Below are 19,351 nucleotides of genomic sequence, written 5' to 3' on the forward strand. Positions count from 1 at the left end.
CTGCTGCTGCTTGGGGTTCCTTGTCTTACTTCATGGCACCCCATCTATCCATACCTCCAGGGCTCATTTTTTCCCTCATCTGCCTCCATATCCAATCATTTGCAAATTCTATTTTTATATCTTTCAGGCCAACTACATTCCTTCTTCCCCACTGCCACTCAAGTTGATTCCAGCTCCCACCACGACAGCTCAGCAGGGCCTTCTGCATGCAATCCAGCCCTCTTCAATCTATTTTCCACACTGCAGCCAGAATCATCAGAAATTTCAGGTCTGATCCTGTAATGCCTCTGATAAATCCTTCAGTAGCTCTCGTTGCCCTTAGGATGTGTGTCCAAATGCCTCTCTGATCCCTTGCACATGCGTGAACCTAGCTGCTGTCATACTGAAACTACCCCTGGTGTCCCAGTGATTCTTCTGCTCTCACTAGCAGCCTATGCACATGCTGCCACCTTTGCCTAGAATACTTTCCCTTCTCCACCTACAAGACCAAATCCTATTCTTCCTCCAGTACTTGACCCCAAGAGCCTTCTCTCTCTAGAAACCTTCTCTGATTCCTCTTTCCTCCAAACTTGGGATAAGGGTCTGTCTTAGTCTGTTTTGTGTTGCTATAACAGAATACACAGGGCTGCATAATTAACCAATAAAAGAGTTTTATTTAGCTCATGGTTCTGCAGGCTGGAAAGTTCAAGGGCATAGCCCTGGCTTCTGGTGGGAGCTTTCCTGCTGATCACAACATGGCAGATCAAAGGGGAAATGGACACGTATGAAGACACAAAACCCAGAGGTATTTTGGCTTTATATCGACCTACTTTCATGGGAACTAATTTGTTTCCCAGGGAAAACAATCCAGTCTTGCAGAGGGAGAACCCACTACCAGGAGAAAGCACCAAGCCATTCATGAAGGATCTGCCCCCAAGACCTAAACACCTACCACAGGTCCTACCTCCCAATGCCACCATATTGGGGATCAAATTTCAACATGAGCTTCAGTGGAAACAAACCATACGCAAAGCACAGCAGGGTCCCCTTCATGAGCTATTACAGTGTATTAATCCGTAATACCTATCTCCCCCGCCTGCTTGTGGGCTCCTACAGGGCAAGGATGCTGTTGTAGTCAACTTTATATCCCCTGTATCTATTATAACGTGAAACAATAACCATTTCAAAAGTATTAAATGATTAAATTCATGGAAAAAAATGGAAAAGGCTGTAAATTACCCAGTGGGGCAATAGCTTGAGGTGAGCATAACTGAGGATTAGGATGGCAGAATCACACATACAAAATAGATGGCAAAATCACATATGAAAACCAAACATGCAAAACTGAGACATGTTTTCAAATGGAGTACCTGTAGCTCAGGGTTTCCCTTACAGTTTTGGCTGGTGTGTTCCACCCAGACCCATACAATCAAATGTGTTGACTCTTGGTTCTGTGAGTCTTATCACCGACCCAAAGGACAACATCTGTTCATCAGCATGTAGTGTAGCATGACTAGGTATTGGATGAATGACATGGCTATGATGCAATGACTAGGGGAATAATCACACCCTCCACCCTGTCTGGTTCATCATGGTGTGATGATTGATTTTAGGTGTCAACTTGACTGGATTAAGGGAAACCCAGAAAGCTGATTAATCATTATTTCTGGGTATGTCTGTGGGGGTGGTTCCTAAAGAGATTGGCATTTGAATGAGTGGACTGAGTAAAAAAAAAAAAAAATTGCCCTTACTTTTTATGGGGAGATACTGTCTAATCAGCTGAAAGCTCAGGTACAAAAAAAGGGCAGAGGAAGAGCAAATTCATTCTCTTCTGAACTGGGACACTCTTCTCCTCCTTTGGACATCAGAACTCCAGGATCTCCAGCATTCAGACTCTGAGACTTGCACCAGCAGTCCCCCGGGTCTCAGGCCGTCAGCCTCAAACTGAGAGTAACACCACCAGCCCTCCTGCTTCTCAGGCCTTTGGACTTGAATACAGCCATGCTACTAGGTCCCCTTGTTCTCCAGCTCTCAGAAAACCTGTCATGGGACTCCTTGGCCTCCATAATGGTATAAGCCAATTCCCCTAATAAATCCTCTCTCATATATCTATATCTAGATCTGGATCAATGATAGCTAGCTAGATAGCTGGATAGATAGATGATAGACGGATGACAGATCCTATTGGTTCTGTTTCTCTGGAGAATCTTGACTAGCACACATAAGAACATTGCTGTGTCAATATGTACTTTGGGCTGGAGCAAAATAATCTTTGACACATTTGTCCACTCTCCCAGAGTGTTGATCTCAGCGTAGATCAATGGGAGTGATGCAAGAACACAGTCTTCTGAGCTGGTGTTTGCTGGTTCCATGAAGAAGAGAAGGGAGACTGATTAAATCACAACCAAGTCACAAAGTGGAAATTGCTTCCCTCTGGCTCAGCCTTCTTCTTGGGCCAGCTTTTCTGCCAATCCTTCTTGATGCCCCAGGCCTCACGGGGTCTCTTTTATAAGCTGGCAGATGTGTTCAATGCAATGCTGGCAAAATGTCATACAGGTGGCCACCCATATGGTGCCAGTTTGGATCTGACTCCTGGAAAAAATTCTGGAAGCCCACTCAGCCATGGAGGACACCCGCCGGCTTCCTGCACTGGGTCCAGAGCTGTCTGCTCATGGGGACACAGGTGGGAAGCAGGTGTTTCACATAAATGGACCACCCTCTGCTAATCACCACCAATCAAGCCAGTGGTGCAGGAGAAAACAAAATGAGAAAGAATCATCATCCAAGAGGTGAAATGAACTGGTGGCCAAGGAAGCAGGGGGTGCATCTGGATTTCCATAACATAAATGGTCATATTTCAGGCAGGCTTTTCTTTAGAGCAAGCCAGAAACTCAGAGACAGGAAATGTGGGTGTCAGATTTCATTCCAGTGGGTACACTGTCTGGGGTGTTCAATTTAATAAATTCAATCTAATAAAGACCCACAATAGCCAAATCACAGATTCACTTAGCCAGTCATTCAATGTATATTGAACACCCATGTGCCAGGCATCACTCTGGGAGCTGGGGACAGACAGAATGGTGAACAATTTTCACAAGACCTCCCTTTTTACAGATTTATATTTCAGTCAGGGGAAGACAGAGAGATAAACACATAGGAAAATGTCAGGTAGTAATAAGTGCTATGCAGAAAAGTAAAAATGGGTGATGTGATAGGGACTGGATGGCTACTTTAGATTGGGTGGTCAAGGAAGTCCTCTCCGAAAAGCTGACATTTGAAGCTGAATGACAATCTGAATGACAAGGAGGGACCAGATAACCATGCAGGGGTTGGGAGAAGAGCCAGTGAAAAGGCCCAAGGTGAGACAGGTTGATGCTCAAAGGCAGTTGGGGATGGCAGCATCCTGACAGAGGGTGATCCTACAGAGAGTAAAGCGCCAGCCTCTGCCATGGGATGAAGGCATCACCACCTGCAGCTGAGAGAGACTGGGGAAGACAGGGATTGACAGTGACTAGCTCAACAACATTTACCATTAGGATGCTTAGAATTATCAGAAGGATTCACACCAGGACTATGCTTAATATTGGATCATGGAGTCAGGTAGGAAAGCCAGGTTTTTGGAAGTTGGGGGGATTGAGTCAAGGCTAAAAATGAAGCAGGCAAGTATAAGAGAGGCTAGAGCTGAGCTGTGTCTGGAGGATTGCATTGAACCAAGCCCAGGGTTAGCAGGGCTAGAGGCCATAATAACCCAATGGACCAGAAACCCAACATGCAGTCAGGAGCTAGATGCAAAGAAAAAGACCAAGAGACCCAAGCATTATGTCGTCTTCATTTCCAAAAAAAAATGATATGTGCTTCTGATTGGAATAAAGGCCAATTTAAGACAACCAACCTGAGAATACTAACGACTCCCAAATCTATACTTTCAGTCTACACATTTCTCTTGAACTTTAGTCTCAACTCTCTGAAAGTCTCAGGAAGTCCAAACTCAACTTTTCTAAAGTTGAACTCACAATCTCCCTCCCATTCACTCCAAATTACCTCCTCTTTCTCTATTCCACAAATCAGTGAATGACAACACCATCTACAGACTTCTCAAGCCAGGAGGATAGACATTGCAGGCATGAGTTTCCTGAGGAGCAGACTCTGAGATGGATATTAACATAATGAGGTGTATTAGAAAGAGCTCTTCACATCCCACCTGTGGAAGGGAAGGGAAAAAAGCAGGTTGGAAAGAAGAGGAAGTTGAGCTGCAACAAAGTCTCAACCAAGGCCTCATCCAAGCCCTCTGGGAGATTTGAAGCAGGGATGGCCCTTCAAAGTTGTCTTGAGTTGGGTTGAGAAGTCTGGAAAATAGCTTTTACACCCAAATGTTGACCAGTCATTGGATGTGGGCTGTCCAGGAAGGCAGTGTGATCTTGGACAAGATGGCTGTCTTCAGCCAAGGGCAATTCTCCCAGGAGCTAGAGGAATAAGTCCTTTGGTCTTGAAGAGTTCTGGGTAGCACGTCAAAACCTCCACTCAATCATCCTTAACTTCTTTTCCCTTTGTATCATCCTGATTATCCCATGAGGGATGAGTGCTGAGGGGCTACCTTCTATACACTTCTCCTATCCATCCTGTTCTCTCCTTCCAATATTGCCACTGGTTCAGGTCTCAAAACTTCTCACCTGGATAGAGTCTTCAATCTGCTCTCTCTGGTCCTCTCCAGTCTATACTCCATATGACTGTCAGAATTATCTTTCGAAGACACAATTGGAACATAGTACTCTACCATTTAAAACTCTTCCTTGGCTGTCTTCAGAATAAAATCTGAATTCCCCTCTAGATAAAATCTGAATTTCAGATCACAGAGTTACAGATCCTTCATGGCCTGGCTCCCACTGACTCCTCTGTCCTGATCTATCCCCACTCCTATCTCTGGACTCAGCCTTTTTGCAGAGCTTAGTGTTCCCTGATTGCTATGGCTTGGATATGGTCTGTTTGGCCTCACCAAGTCTCATGTTGAAATTTGATCCCCAGTGTTGGTGGAGGTACGGCATGGTGGCCGGTGTTTGGGTTGTAGGAGTGAAGCCCTTATCAATGGCTTGTTACCATTCCCACGGGTTTGAGTTAGCTCTCACTCTTAGTTCTTGAGAAAACTGGTTGCTGAAAAATGCTTGGTGCCTCCTCCTCTCTCTCGTGCTTCCTCTCCTTCCCCTTCCACCATGGGTGGAAGCAGCCTCAAGTTCTTGCCAGAAGCAGATGCTGGTGTCATGCTTCTTGTACAGCCCACAGAACCACAGGCCAAATAAACCTCTTTTCTTTATAAATTATCCAGCTTCAGGGATTTCTTTATAGCAATGTGAATGGAGTAAGATACTGATCCTTTCGACACAGGGCACTTTGGTCAGAAAGGCCTCTTTAATCTCCACCCTCTCTGACCTTTCGTGCAGAGCTTACTCTCTCCTGAAACAATATACCCAACACAACCCATCCCTACTTCATCCCGAAACATCTTGGTCTGCAGCATCTCAAATGGCCTGATGCCTTGTCTGCCTTACCCATGAGACAGCAAGATTCTTGAGAACAGAGACAGTATCTTATTCTTTTTAATATTCCTAAATACTACTTTGCAGGGCCTGGTGCATAATAGCTGCTCAGTAAATATTTGATGAGTCAATCAGTCAACCAACGAGAATAAGAGGCATTAGTAATATTACCTGAATATTTAACACTAAAACAAGATACTCTCATGAACTCATCTACTGAATAGGAACATAATCCCCACAAAGAATGGACAGATTGAATCATCATACCAGGGCAACAGCCCCCAGAGTGTGTTAGGACTGTGTCCAGCCATAACAGCCTTTTGTCTCCAAGCATGGTTTTCACCTATACTTTGGGTCAGCCACGTCTCTGTGTTTCTGGTAGCTGATGGGACATGTCCATGAATGCCCACGATGGCTCATCTAACTCATGCCAAGCCCCTCTAGCATGCCTTCCTGGACTTAAAGACTGAGAACTGAAAACCACATCCATTTCCAGCCCCCACATGACTTACTCTCCACCAAGCAGACACATCCATGAGAGAACTGGAAAATGGGACTGAGTAGTGTGAGATGGCAGCCATATATGGGGAGATCAGAACTGGTAACTGAGGTGTTTTGTTGCTGGGGGAAGCTGTGACGGTTCTATCACCTCGCCCCTTGTTTCAGAGACAATGAGGTGGGTCCAGGGGGTCGCAGCAGTGTGTTTCTGCTCTAATAGTCATTGGGCATTTCTCCTGGCCCATTTCCTGATGCAGGTAAAATCCACCCCATAACTTATAATAAATTCCTTTATCCTTAAACTGGCAAATAATTAATATACCCACTTACAAGGAGGCCTGAAGAGTCTCCTTGGAAAGGGTCCAACCTCAGGGGTAGTAGGAGTCAGATGTGATGAACTTAAGCCAGCAGCAAAGCCTCCATGATCAGCAGAAAAATTCTGCCCCTCAGATTCATCCCCTGGCCCAGCCCACATGAGTCCTATCCAAATCTCATTCAGAACAGAACTGTCGGTAAAGTACAAAGAACTGTCTACTAACACTAGGTAAAACCTTGGGGCACAACCCGCCCTGCTTGGCCACCCTGAGGCCCTGCTTGGCCACAGAGAAAGATGGATTCTACTCCACTTTGCTTCACAAATCCTGCAGCTTTGACATCCCAAAAGCTTCCAACAACAGGGAGACATCATCGGCCAGTAAGAGATGGTAGTGCTTGACCAGATGTCTTGGGGAGGCTCCAGAACCTGGGAGCTTCTAGCTAGAGCAGTGGCTGCACCAGAAAGAGGCAGCCCTTTTGGGGAGCTCGGGTACAATTCTCCCTAGGGATTCCCAGGAATATCTGGGCACAGAAACATGTTATGGTATAGATAAAAGACACTACCTAGGGACCCCCATAATATTGGGACGAGCTCTCATCTGGAAGCCTTTGTGAGATAGCCCCCAGGGGTTCCCAGAAATACTTGGGAAGACTTGTTTGTGAGCTCACCTGTGGGAGTACTTGGGAACTATCATAAATATTGTAAAAGGGTCTTTCATTTGTGAGCATATCTGAGACATGCCCTAGAGATTCCCAGAAAGACCTGGGAGGGACTGTCACTCCTGAGCTCGTGAGAGACGCCTCTGAGGACTCCCACCTCCACATGCAGGGACTCATTGTAAGAGTATGAGCTTAAAATATTGGGGGGCCCTTTGCAGGAATTAGATGTTCTGCATCATCAGTTTGAGGCAAATTCTAGTGAAAGTTGAGGATTATAATTCTTGTGACCTTTTTTTGCCCATGGACCTGGGGCATTTATATACTTGTATTAATGCCTGAGAGCCTCACCCCTTCCCCCTTCTGAGTAATGAGCATTATTTAGGTCTGGCAATTCTTTTGTTGAGGTTGCTATCAAAACTTGCTGGCCTGGAGCCATTTTGACCCTGTCTGGTGACCACGCATGTCACTGTTATGCTCCCTTAGGTAACAAAGTTACAGTTGAACTTTCAGAAGGCAAGTTTCTGTTCTTTCTTTCGGGGTACTCCCTCTTTGTTACCCCCTTGTGATTTACAGAAAGAAATGGGAACTTCCACAAACTCGTTGGCCTGGGTGAAGAAAGGAGTGTGCAGGAGAGATGGATGGTCGTGTGCAGGGCCCCTGGGTGTCCCAGGTGCCCCGTCAAGCCAGCAACCCCTCTCTCTGATTGGCTGCCAGCATGCCCCCCCAACTCTGTTCCAACACCAAACACTTCTACCTGCTGCAGCTCCTTCGAAGAGTTGGGAAGCTTGCCTCAGAAATCCATTTGAGAACAAAAGACATGAATAAACCATTCATAGAAGAGGGAAAATAAATGACTGCTGAACACTTGGAAGGATGTCTAACTACACTAATAATTTAAGAAATACAGTTTAAAACCAACTGCCATTTCCACCCATTAAATCAGTGTTTAAAAAAAATAAAATAAAGATATCCAGAGCTAGCAGTTGGAGTGGAAAGTGAGGTTCTCACCTGCTGCTGGGGGCGCTTAAAATTGCTGCAAACTTCAGCTGGGCACCATGGCTCATGCCTGTAATCCCAACACTTTGGGAGGCCAAGGCAGGTATATCACTTGAGCCCAGGAGTTCGAGACCAGCCTGGCCAACATGGTGAAACCCCGTCTCTACAAAAAATACAAATATTAGCTAAGCATGGTGGCACACACCTGTAATCCCAGCTACTCAGGAGGCTGAGGCAGGAGAATCACTTGAACCCAGGAGGCAGAGGTTGCAGTGAGCTGAGATAGCACCACTGCACTCCAACCTGGATGACAGAATGAGACGCTGTCTCAAAAGAAAAAAAAATTGATGTAAATTTCTTGGGAAGCAATATGTCACTATATATATATATCAAAAGCCTTTAAAATGTTCTGCCCTTTGACCTTGTTACTCTGCTTCTGGGAATCTATCCTAAGGAACAAACCAGATTTTTGTGAAAGGATATGCATTATTAGAGCAATCACAAAAATGGAAACATTAATGTCCAAAAAAGATAAAACTATTAAATAATGATACATCTATATGCTATAATGTTAACAAACTCTAAATATCATGTTTCCAAACAAAGTCACTACACAGAGAATTGCTTACCATGCAGTATTGGATGGGGGAAACACAGGGTTCAAAAACACACAAAGGGACTCTCTGACTGAAGACTCAGCTCCAAAATATAAAACAATCTTACAACTAAATAAGAGGATAACCTAATTAAAAAGTGGCAAAAGATTTGAACAGGCACTTCTAAAAAGAAGATAGGCAAATGGCCAGTAACACATGAAAAGATGCTCAACATTAGTAGTCATCAGAGAAATGCAAATTAAACCAATGGGATCCCACTACACACCCACTAGAATGTCTAAAATTAAAAAGGCCAACAATACCAAGCGTTGCAAAGATGTGGAGCAACTAGAACTCTCATTAATTGCTGGTGGGAGTTTAAAGTAGTCCAATGACTTTGGAGAAGAGTTTGGTAAGTTCTCATAACGTGAAACAGCCTCTTACCACATAACCCAGAATCCCATCCTAGGTATTTAACCAAGAAATAAAAATATATGTTCACAAAAAATGCTTGAATATGAATAGGCATCACAGCTTTATTCATAATAGCCTCAAATTTGCAACAACCCAAATGTTCACCGACAGGTGAATGAATAAACAAATTGTGGCTCGTTCATATAGTGGGATGTTACTCGGCAATAACAGAGCAATACAACAACCTAGAAGAATCTCAAAAACGTTACACTGAGGGAAAAAAAGCCAGACATAAAGACGTACCCGTAAGTTCCCTTTATAGGAAATTCTGGAACAGACAAAAATAGTAGTCACCTGGGGCTAGGTGAAGAAGGGGTTGCAGGGGCCAAAATAACTGTAGAGTTGATGGAACAAGATTAAAAAGATAAACGCTTGTTGCTTGCAGCAAAAAGTAACCAGTAAAGGAATTATAACCATTTGCGAGGCGGGGAGAGGAGCCTATAATGAGAGCAGGAAGTCTAGCGGATAAGGTCCAACACTGATAAGCAGGAAATGGCGGTAAACCCACGTCAGGTGGAAAATACAGAAAGACATAACCACCAGAAGAAAAGACCAGAAGGGCTAGAAGCCGCTGTCTCTGAGGATCAGGACTGGGGAAGGGAGAGAGGAGGCAACAGGATTGCTTTTCATCCTAACCCCTCTGTTATTTTTATTAGCTATACCATTTTTATTTACTATGTGCACATATTATTTTACCAAACATTAAAAAATACATTTAAAACAGCTGTGCATGGTGTATGGGTACCAGTATTGTAAAACATATACAAATAAATTCATACAAAAAAAAGACTTGAAGGAAATACAGTCATTGTCTGGGAGAAAGTTTTATAATGCTATTTTGCCCCTTCTTTATACTCATCCTTTTTTCCAAATTTCCTGCAATGGGCATGCATTATTTTTATAAACACGAAAACCCGTTATATAAAGAAGCAAAATTATGTTAAGAAATACATTTTAAATGATATCTGAAATGAAGTGAAGGAAACAAAATTGAATATAAAAGTAAATTCAATTATGTGAAACAACATACATGAAACTAGAGACATTTAAGAAAATATTAACAATAATTATCCCAGAGGTGGAATTATGGCTGATTTTTTTCATCTTATCTTTCCTTTTTTCTAATTTTTTTTCCATAATAACTATGATTAAACCAGGTTTGGCTGGAGAACTAAATTTGATCTCTCTATTGGCTTCAGACCAAAATAATAATGTAATGTCTCCGCGTGGTACCAGGCACCTAGAAAGCCCTCCAGGAACACTTGTGGCATTAAGGGAACTGAATGTAAATGAGGTTTACTGGTGACTGCTTCTAATTGAGCCCGTTCAGCTTCAGTCACTCAATCACAGCATTTACCTGGTGCCTACTGTGTCCAGTGACCTGCACAAGAGACTGTGTGGGTGTTGGCAGCAGAGGATGCAGGTACTCTCACCTTGTTGTGTGGCAGACCAGTTCGCAGAAGAGAATAAACACCCACACATAAAAACAGATGGAAAACATGCCCAGAGAAAACAAATGGATACATCTAGCCTGAAGGGTTGGGTATCCTGTCCTGGCTAGCCTCACCGTGGACATCCTTGGTGGAATCAAGATGGCAGCCCCTTCTCTCTACTCCCTCTTCTCCCGTCTCCTCAATAGCCACTACCCCTTCCGTCATGCTAAAACCAACAGAGGCCCTGGAAAGTCAGTTCAGTTTGTCTCTAGTCCCAGGAGGGGAGAGTCATCCAAAATGTCCAAGACAAAGATGAATAGCAACAAACACCTGGGATTTTTTACCATTTGACCACACTTAACTCCAGGAGGGCTGGGCTTCATCAGTGATTCCATGGGAACAAAGAAGCCAATAAGGAGGAGAAAGGGAAAGAGCACCCTGAGATCCTCTGAAAATGCTAAGGGAAGTCTGAGAAATCACCAGTGTGTTCTCTGGCCACAAGGGTCCATCTCTCCACCATTTGGACAACAGGCAGAGGGAGAAGTCACAAAATTTTCTGATGGTCCAGCCAAATTCACTGGTTCCCAAGAAACTCTCAACAAGAAATACATGGCATGCACATGGGTGCATGCTATGGTCTGTATTTCAAGCATTAGAACATTCCATGGCTGTTCCTATCTCCACCTGCAATTCCATTAAGACCAAAGGAAGTGTAACAAGGTGTTAAGCTGAAGGTTTGCCTGAGAAACCATGACACAATAGACATGACATTCCAATGTGCCAGATGATGCATATTTTCAAGGAAAGAGCTAAAAACTTATTACAGAACTCAAGCTTCTCACCCACACCTACATTGAGGGTATAAAATGGTCTGGCTTTTCAAGATTAAGGGAGAAGATTTGTGAAGAAAATTTATTTGGAAAAAAATTATTGATGTGCTGTGGGCCTCACCCTTTCCAAGAGGGAGAGAGAGAGGTACCTGTCCCTCATCTCAAATCTTGTGAAAGGGACTTCAAGGAGACACTCAGAAAGCCTGGTACATGTCTGCTATGATGGATGGACACAGTGGACTGGCAGGGAGAGATAAGTTGCCTGGCTGCTCCCACTGTGGAAGAAAGATGTTTCTGCAGCCTTAGGACTGCAGACTCTCAGAATGTGGCTGACCTACAAACTCTCAGAATGTGGCTGGGCAGGGATGCCTGAGAGTGTCCCTTGGACCAGTTGTAAGCCAATGGTACAGGGAGGGCAGATGTGGTCACAGTGGGCCCTGTCCAAGAGGGGCCACTTCGAGGGGTGAGCAATCCTCAGCAAAGAAAAGCTGAGATGATTTCCAATTCCTAGGAGTTGTGGGCATGCTGGAGGAGTGGCCATCCTTGACAAGGAAGCTGCAGGAGAGGACAGAAGGAAGGACTCCTAAGGACCCACAACCATGCCCAAGAAAGAATATCAGTTGCCCAGAGGCCATCTTTCCATGCTGCCATTCAAGTAAGGCTTCAGATCTGTGCATCTTAGCTGAACATCCGCTCTGAGCAGAACTATTCATAACTTTGACTCTAAGATTATTTAGACTGATGTTTGCCAAACAAACCTGATCATACGATAGCAAGAAATGCAGCTTTCTATGCCTCATTGCTAAAGATTCTGGTCGTCTATGTTTTTTTGTTTTTTGTTTTGTTTTTTTGAGATGGAGTCTTGCTCTGTTGCCCAGGCTGGAGTACAGCAGTGCGATCTCGGCTCACTGCAACCTCTGCCTCCAGGTTCAAGCAATTCTCCTGCCTCAGCCTCCTGAGTAGCTGAGGTTACAGGCACATGCCACGATGCCCAGCTAATTTTTCTGTATTTTTAGCAGAGATGGAGTTTCACCATATTGGCCAGGCTGGTCTTGAACTCCTGTCCTCAAGTGATCTGTCCGCCTCAGCCTCCCAAAGCGCTGGGATTACAGCCGTGAGCCACCGTGCCCAACAGAAGTCTGTGTTTTTATATCCACTGTATAACTCTTATGATCTGCTATATCTAGAAGACAGAAATCCAATCTAGTGTTTCCCAAACATCTCCAGTGATTTCTTTAAAAAAACAAAAAATTATTGGGCCACCCCACCTCTTCTTAGAATGTCCAGAAGCTGACATGTTCAGGAAGCTGAACCGCCCAGGTGATACTTTTCAACAGCAAAGTGTAGTTCATTTGGTGCACCCCCTCATCCTGTGAGGGGAAACTGAGGGTCATCAGAGGGGTGGGGGGGTGGGGGCGATTTTCCTAAAGCCTCACAATGGGTTGGTGGTGGCAGTGGGACCAGAACCAAGATCTCTTAACTCCCAGGACAGTCATTTCTATCTCCCCGCAAGCCCCAAAAGATAGTGTGGGCTTATGAAACGTCTTTTAATCTTCATAATAGGCAAGTCTTTTATGAGGTAAGTATTTTTGACCCTTACTTTACAGAGGAGCCCAGAGCAGGTAAAGGGCTTCTCCAGGGTCCAACAACTCAAACATAGTGGAGCAAAGATTCAAAGCAGAGCCCTCCTGCCCCACGCTCGCCTTCCACTGCCTCCTCCACCACAGGACCTCTCCCAGTTCCCAGCAGGCGGCCTCATAGAACTCGAACTCACCTGTGGGGAAGCTCGTCCATTTTCCTTTAGTCGTAGACTGCAAAGGAAATAAAAAGCCTAGGTTAAAGTGTTCCCTGGGGCAAACTCCTGCACAAATCTTTAGCTAGCTGATTGCTTCCCCCAGCCTTCTAGAAAGATCTTAACAAGTTCTATTTATATTTAACCTAGAGAGCACCAATTCTCTCCTTCTTTGGGCTCCTGCACCCCTATCATTAGGCTATCACCACTCATACTCTGACTGTGGGCAGAGTGGTAACTGAAAAACTTTTTGCTGGTTACCCGAAAGCCTTGATAACATCGCACCATCTTTCACTGGCTGTGCGAAGAGAAAACCACTTCCTCGCTCTCCTCAACTGCTTGCATATTTAAAAGTTAATTGCCAAACCTCAGTTGTGTTGAATTAATTGCCTCTTCAGCTGACCTCTCTTCCTTTTATTCATGGCGGGAACAAGCAAATGTAACCAGAGTCATCCCGTGCAGAAAAAGTTGCTTTCTCGGGTGAGGGATGCCTCGCAGTATGGACACCATCACAGGGTGACTTGTGAAGGCCACTGCCTTGGACTCAGTCTCTGCCCACACATTTTCCTTTTCATCCTGAAGGCCTAAATTCTTCTAATGTGTCCAGGCCCAGTCCTGTAGCTAGTGGTCATGCTTGAAAGTCATCCAGAAATAGTGCCTGAGTTGCCCTTAACAGCCATATTTTCATAGTCTTTGCTAAGCATGGTGTCTCCCATAAATGATTCATGGGGGACTCTAAGTGCATTTTATTTTCTAATAACCATCTCTCTCTGCCAGTTCATTATAGATGAACTAAGATACGGAAGAGTGGTAAACCCTTATGAAAGATTACCCGCTGTGTGCCCAAAATGACCACCCTGACCTTAGCAATATTAATCCCTAGCCCGATTTTGCTGAATGTGTCATATGCATCCTCAGGTCACTGGAACTAAATACACCGGTTCAGTGTATTTTTCTATCTATATTAAGCAACCCGTATGTGTGGTTTAATCATGAACGTGAATCTTTGTATCCTGGAACTCAAAGGTAAGATGAACTGTCCAAAGATCATCTCATCCACACCCTGCCTCTCCAAAGGCACTGACTAAATCATTCCCAGCAAATTCCTGCAACCTCTTAGTTTAAACAAACAAACAAACAAAAAGCTTAGCCCCAGGAATACAATGCCAAACCTTTTTCTGTAATCTATGTTGGTGCTTAGCAGGTTTTATGAAGGTCCTCATGGTGTTGTGATGGATTTCCTCCCTTTTCTTTAGGGTGAACAGAGAACAGCCCACCAAGTGAATAAGGCTGATTCACCATCAGTAAATCATGAGATGGTGCCTGTGTTTACACTTCTACTCTTCACCAAGGATCTGTTTATTTAATTGATGGCCTCTGCCTTCTTTAAAGGTTACTCTGGTATTTAGCATGGTGTTGAGAGAGCCTGAGAAGTGATAAATTATACTTACATTTACCCTTTTCCACACCACCATCATACGGTTGCAAACCCCTATGGTCTAGACTCCGCCCATTCGCGCTGCTTAAATCACGTACCTCCACGGAAAGCCACAGGTGCCCCCACTCATTGCCAAACTCCTGATTCTGATAGGGCTTGAGCTCTTTAAAACATTCATGTGAGGAGCACTTGAAGGAACCAGGGTTGTATAGCCTAAGAAGACACTCAGGGGAACAGAATACCAGTGTTCTGATTTGCTTAGAATAACCCTGTAGTCATTTTTCTATTGCTGCAGCAACAAATGTAGTGGCTTAAAACAACACAAATTTATTATCTTTCGGTTCTGAGGTTCCGAAGCCCCTAAAGTCAAGGTATCAGGAGGGCTGCATTCCTTTCAGGCTCTAGGGAAAATCCACTTTCTTGCCTTTTCCATTTTCTAGAAGCTGCCCACATTTCTTGGCTTGTCACTCCCTTCCATCTCCAAAGTCAGATCTTTCTCACATCCCATTACCCTGATACTGACTCTTCTGCCTCCTTCTTCCATCATTTAGGAGCCCTTGTGATTATGTTGGACCCACCTGTATAATCCAGGTTAATCTTCCTATCTTAAAGTCAGCTGATTTAGCAACCTTAGTTCCACCTGCAACCTTAATTTCCCCCTCATCATGAAACATCACACGTTCTGAGGATTAGGACATGAACATTTTTGAGGGGCCATGACTACAGCCCCTAATTGGTAGAGTTAGGGCCAGCAGACAGGAGGTACTGAAAGCCCAATTTCAGTCGAGCAAAAAAAGTTCAGGAAATGAAGAACTTGTTAATAGAGCTGCCCAGAGGAAGAATTGACTGCCTTTGAAGATACTTAATCCCTAATTCTTAGAGGGTTTCAGGCACAGGTCAAAGAGCCACTTCATCATAACTAAGTGGTTACTACATGCCAAACACTCTGATAAGCACTCATCGTATCTTACATCTTCAGCTTCATGAGAGTCCTGTTAAACAGAAGTTATTATTTTACAGAGGATAAACAGGATGCTCAGAGAGGCTCAGGTGAGATTCCCAGCTCTGCCTGGTATTAGCTGTATGAACTGAGACAAGTTACTTAACCTCACCAGTCCTCAGGTTCCTTATCTGTAAAACGGGTAGAATAATGAAACCCATCTCAAGAGACAGAGGCCAGGCACGGTGGCTCACGCCTGTAATCCCAACACTTTGGGATGCCAAAGTAGGTAGATAACTGGAGGTCAGGAGTTCGAGACCAGCCTGGCCAACATGGTGAAACCCCTTCTCTACTAAAAATACAAAAATTAGCTGGATGTGGTGGCGTGCACCTGTAATCCCAGGTACTCAGGAGGCTGAGGCAGGAGAATCACTTGAACCCAGGAGGTGGAGGTTGCAGTGAGCCAAGATCGTGCCACTGCACTCCAGCCTGAGTGACAAACTGAGACTCCATCTCAAAAAAAAAGAAAGAGAGAGATAGTTGTGAGGATTAAATGTGATAATAATAGCATCGAATGCATTTGTTTTTGAATATTATAAGAAATATGTTTAGCATGGCATCTGGCTCGTTGTAAAGGCTCAGTAGCTCTCACTGTAATTCAGCCTAGTAGGGTGTAGTGGACTCCTTGGGCATTTGCCCAGCACCTGGAAACCCCCAGGAGCCAGGGCTGTGGGCCTCAGGCAGCCACGTTTCTCCTACGTGTCCCTGACCTCTCGGCCATGACTGGTTGGACCAGACATAAATCTTTTCATTCAAGCTGAATTAATAGATGTTTTGTCCATGTAATTTGGAATCAGGCTCCTGACAGACGTTTTTAAATTGACACATAATAATTGTCCATATTTATGGGTTATATAGTGAGAAGCTTTGATACCTACGATGTACAGTGATTAGATCAGGGTAATCCATCATCTCAAACATTCATCATTTCTTTGTGCTGGGCCCTGACGGACATTGGACTCAGTCTTTGTGTGTTATTTTTCCTGGACTTGGGTGCCGTGGGACATTCATTTTTCACTATGTGCACCGAGGAGCAGAGAAAAATCAGCCCCCAGAGAGAGAGGATGGAGGCGGTTGCCCAGAAAGGAGCTGAGAAGAGAGATGGAGGGAGCCGGCAGCTCTCCACACCCTCCTTTCCTCCCCTCCTGAACCCACCCCATTCCCACTCAAGGGTGTTGAGACACCCTGTGCCCTCCTAAAATGGCCCACTTTCAATTTCGTGGCCTTGAGTGGGTGTCTGTTATTTACAACAAAAATCCCCAGTGCACAGGTGTTCACAAACATTTGCAGACCAACGGAGCTGGAAGGGACCGGCAACCCCTCTCTTCTTTTGCCCCTCAGGGGCATTGTGGGGAGAAGTTAGGGGGCTCTTCCAGATAACACTGAACCATGACAGGCCAGGGCCAGCACCTAGAACCTCCTGGCTGCCGGAGTTGAGCTCTGCCCTCCACCCCTGGCTGTCTCTAAATCTGATTCTTCAGCTCTATTTCCAAGAGTTTGAGAGGTTGACATGACTGAAAGGGGGAGTGGAATTGGGGACTAGGAAGGGTCCCAGGGTCTTGGAAAGATTTCAAAGGAATTTTCTCATTGAGAGACCAAAAAGCCCATTCAAGAGGCTAATTTTGATGCAAGATCTGGAGCTCTTCCAGCAGCACCTGGATCTGCCTGAATGATGCAGGGAGAGAGAAGCCAGGCATCCATTTGCATATATGCAAACAAGGCCTTCCACAGCTGTCCAGAAGCCACCTCTGCTCAAAGCGCCCCACTCGGCGGCTGGGGACCACTTTCATCTGTCTGCGCAGCCTCGGAAGACAGAGAGACAGGCTTGCCACAGCTTCCCACCAAGCTGACAAGGGCACAGGAGTCATCCCAACACCCAAGGGCTGGAGGAGCAAAGAGCTTACACCTCCCCAAAGCTCTGGCAGGAGCAGGCAGCCAGATCTGTGGTCCAGGGTTCTCTTTGGGAGGTCTTCTCTGTGCTATGCCAGCAGGAGAGCCACCACCCTTCTAGGGGGCTTTCTATGTCTCCCTATTCCTGGCCCATTCCTTCTCCCCTTCTAGGACTTCGGTCTCCTCTTCCCTTAGACTGAGCCCATTCTGGGGAGAAGGAAGAGACCAGGCAATCGGTCTGGGCACTGGGAGACCCGGCGCAGCCACAGGATTCTCTATTACCCTAAACAAGTTTGGTCTGGGCATTGGGAGACCCAGTGCAGCCACGGGATTCTCTATTACCCTAAACAAGCTTGGTCTGGGCATTGGGAGACCCGGCGCAGCCACGGGATTCTCTATTACCCTAAGCAAGCCTCCACCTCAGTTCTCCTCTCCCATAAAATTCAGGGGAGGGGAAAGGAGGGCTAGAATTCATACTTTTAGCCAAGAAACTCTTTCCCCAACAAAATTTTAGATGGAACACTACTCAGTAAAAGTGGTGCTGCTCTGGTGGGAACAGCACTGGGTGGGTGTCATCAGCCCCTTGCCCCATCCCGTTCATCGCATGGTGCCCCTGAGGCTCATCACAGCACATTGTGAAAACCACTGAGCTTACTGACTCCTAAGGTTCCTTCCTGCTGCCAGAGTCTGCAATTTCTTTTTTTCTTTTTCTTTTCTTTCCTTTTTTTTTTTTTTTTTTTTTTTTTTTTTTTTTGAGACAGAGTCTTGCTTTGTTGCCCAGGCTGGAGTGCACTGGGGCAATCTTGGCTCACTGCAAGCTCCGCCTCCCGAGTTCACACCATTCTCCTGCCTCAACCTCCCGAGTAGCTGGGACTACAGGAGCCTGCCACCACGCCTGGCTAATTTTTTTTTTTTTTTTTTTTTTGTATTTTTAGTAGAGACGGGGTTTTACCATGTTAGCCAGAATGGTCTCGATCTCCTGACCTCATGATCCGCCCATCTCAGCCTCCCAAAGTGCTGGGATTACAAGCATGAGCCACCGCGCCTGGCCAGAGTCTGCAATTTCAAAACCAGTCACAGCCCCTGATGAGAGCAGGGAGCAGGGAGATAGTGGGGCTGAGGAGGAACTGATAAGATTTTAGTGGTAAGCCCTGAGACCAGCCTCCGAGTCCTGTGGGCTCACACAGGCCTCGGGTTCATGTTCCTGGAACGGCTCTCGGGAAAATTCTGGCAGAAGCCTCAGCTTCCATCCACACCTGTCCTGGCCCCAAGGCCTCAGGGGGACTTCCAGAGCCAGGAGAGCTCCCCTCTGACGGCAGGGAGGGAGGGCCTGCCCCTCCGGTGGGCCCTGGGCCTCCCTCTCTGCCTGTGGTTGTCATTGTGTCATTGTGTGCTTCTCCTTCCCTGTCCTTCCCCCCTCCCTTCTTCTCCTCCTTTCTTTCCCCTGCCACACATACACACACAGAGAGAGTCAACTTGTTACTGCCTTCACTCTCTCCCCCTCTGCCCAGCCCAGCCCCATGGACCCTGGGAAAGTACACGAACAATACCTGGGGAAGGGGATCAGGTATCCTGGCCAGGCACTGGCCTCTACAAAACACACAGATGGCTGCTCCCCAGGCGATTCTGGGCTTTCCTTTCTTGCCCTCCTCCCTCCCTCCCTCCCTCCTCTCTGTCCCCAGCGCTAGGCCAGCTCCCAGCACCCCTACTTCCCTGACGAACATCCTTCTCCTTCCATTTGCCCAGGATGGCAGTGAACTAGCCTGGGACACAGGAAGTCACGCCCCCTCTCTAGGCCTCAGTTTCCTCTTCTGGAAAATGAAGGGTTGCACGATAAGAGGCATTTAAGCTTTGGGGGTGTCATAGATCTCTTTGAGAATCTGAAGGAAGCCAGGCAGACACACACACACACACACACA

The 19,351-nt window shown here is 45.7% G+C and overlaps 1 protein-coding gene across 2 annotated transcripts in view, besides 2 other annotated features; it reads left to right on the forward strand.

Moving 5' to 3' along the window:
* Positions 1 to 19,351, forward strand: part of RGS6 (regulator of G protein signaling 6) — a 762,695-nt gene that overhangs the window by 713,906 nt on the left and 29,438 nt on the right. Inside the window, exon 18 of one of the 2 annotated variants that reach the window (XM_017021822.3) lies at positions 128 to 659. The exons of the other annotated variant lie outside the window; for it this stretch is intronic. Coding sequence (XP_016877311.1) covers positions 128 to 274 — 147 coding nt within the window. The 3' untranslated portion in view covers positions 275 to 659. Of the gene's footprint in view, positions 1 to 127; positions 660 to 19,351 lie in introns of those variants that run through there. 2 annotated transcript variants of the gene reach the window in all.
* Positions 7,606 to 7,655: an enhancer, noted in NCBI's record as "active region_8687". NCBI's record gives its function as "activates an Ori minimal core promoter by ATAC-STARR-seq in GM12878 lymphoblastoid cells {active_cell/tissue: GM12878}" and the evidence as "EXISTENCE:reporter gene assay evidence [ECO:0000049][PMID:35858748]".
* Positions 18,719 to 19,234: an enhancer, noted in NCBI's record as "H3K4me1 hESC enhancer chr14:73066667-73067182 (GRCh37/hg19 assembly coordinates)". NCBI's record gives its function as "activates a minimal SCP1, AML or CMV promoter by ChIP-STARR-seq in naive H9 embryonic stem cells {active_cell/tissue: H9 hESC(naive)}" and the evidence as "EXISTENCE:reporter gene assay evidence [ECO:0000049][PMID:30033119]".

Source organism: Homo sapiens, chromosome 14 (assembly GCF_000001405.40).
Source record: "Homo sapiens chromosome 14, GRCh38.p14 Primary Assembly".
Classification (NCBI taxonomy): Eukaryota; Metazoa; Chordata; class Mammalia; order Primates; family Hominidae; genus Homo; species Homo sapiens.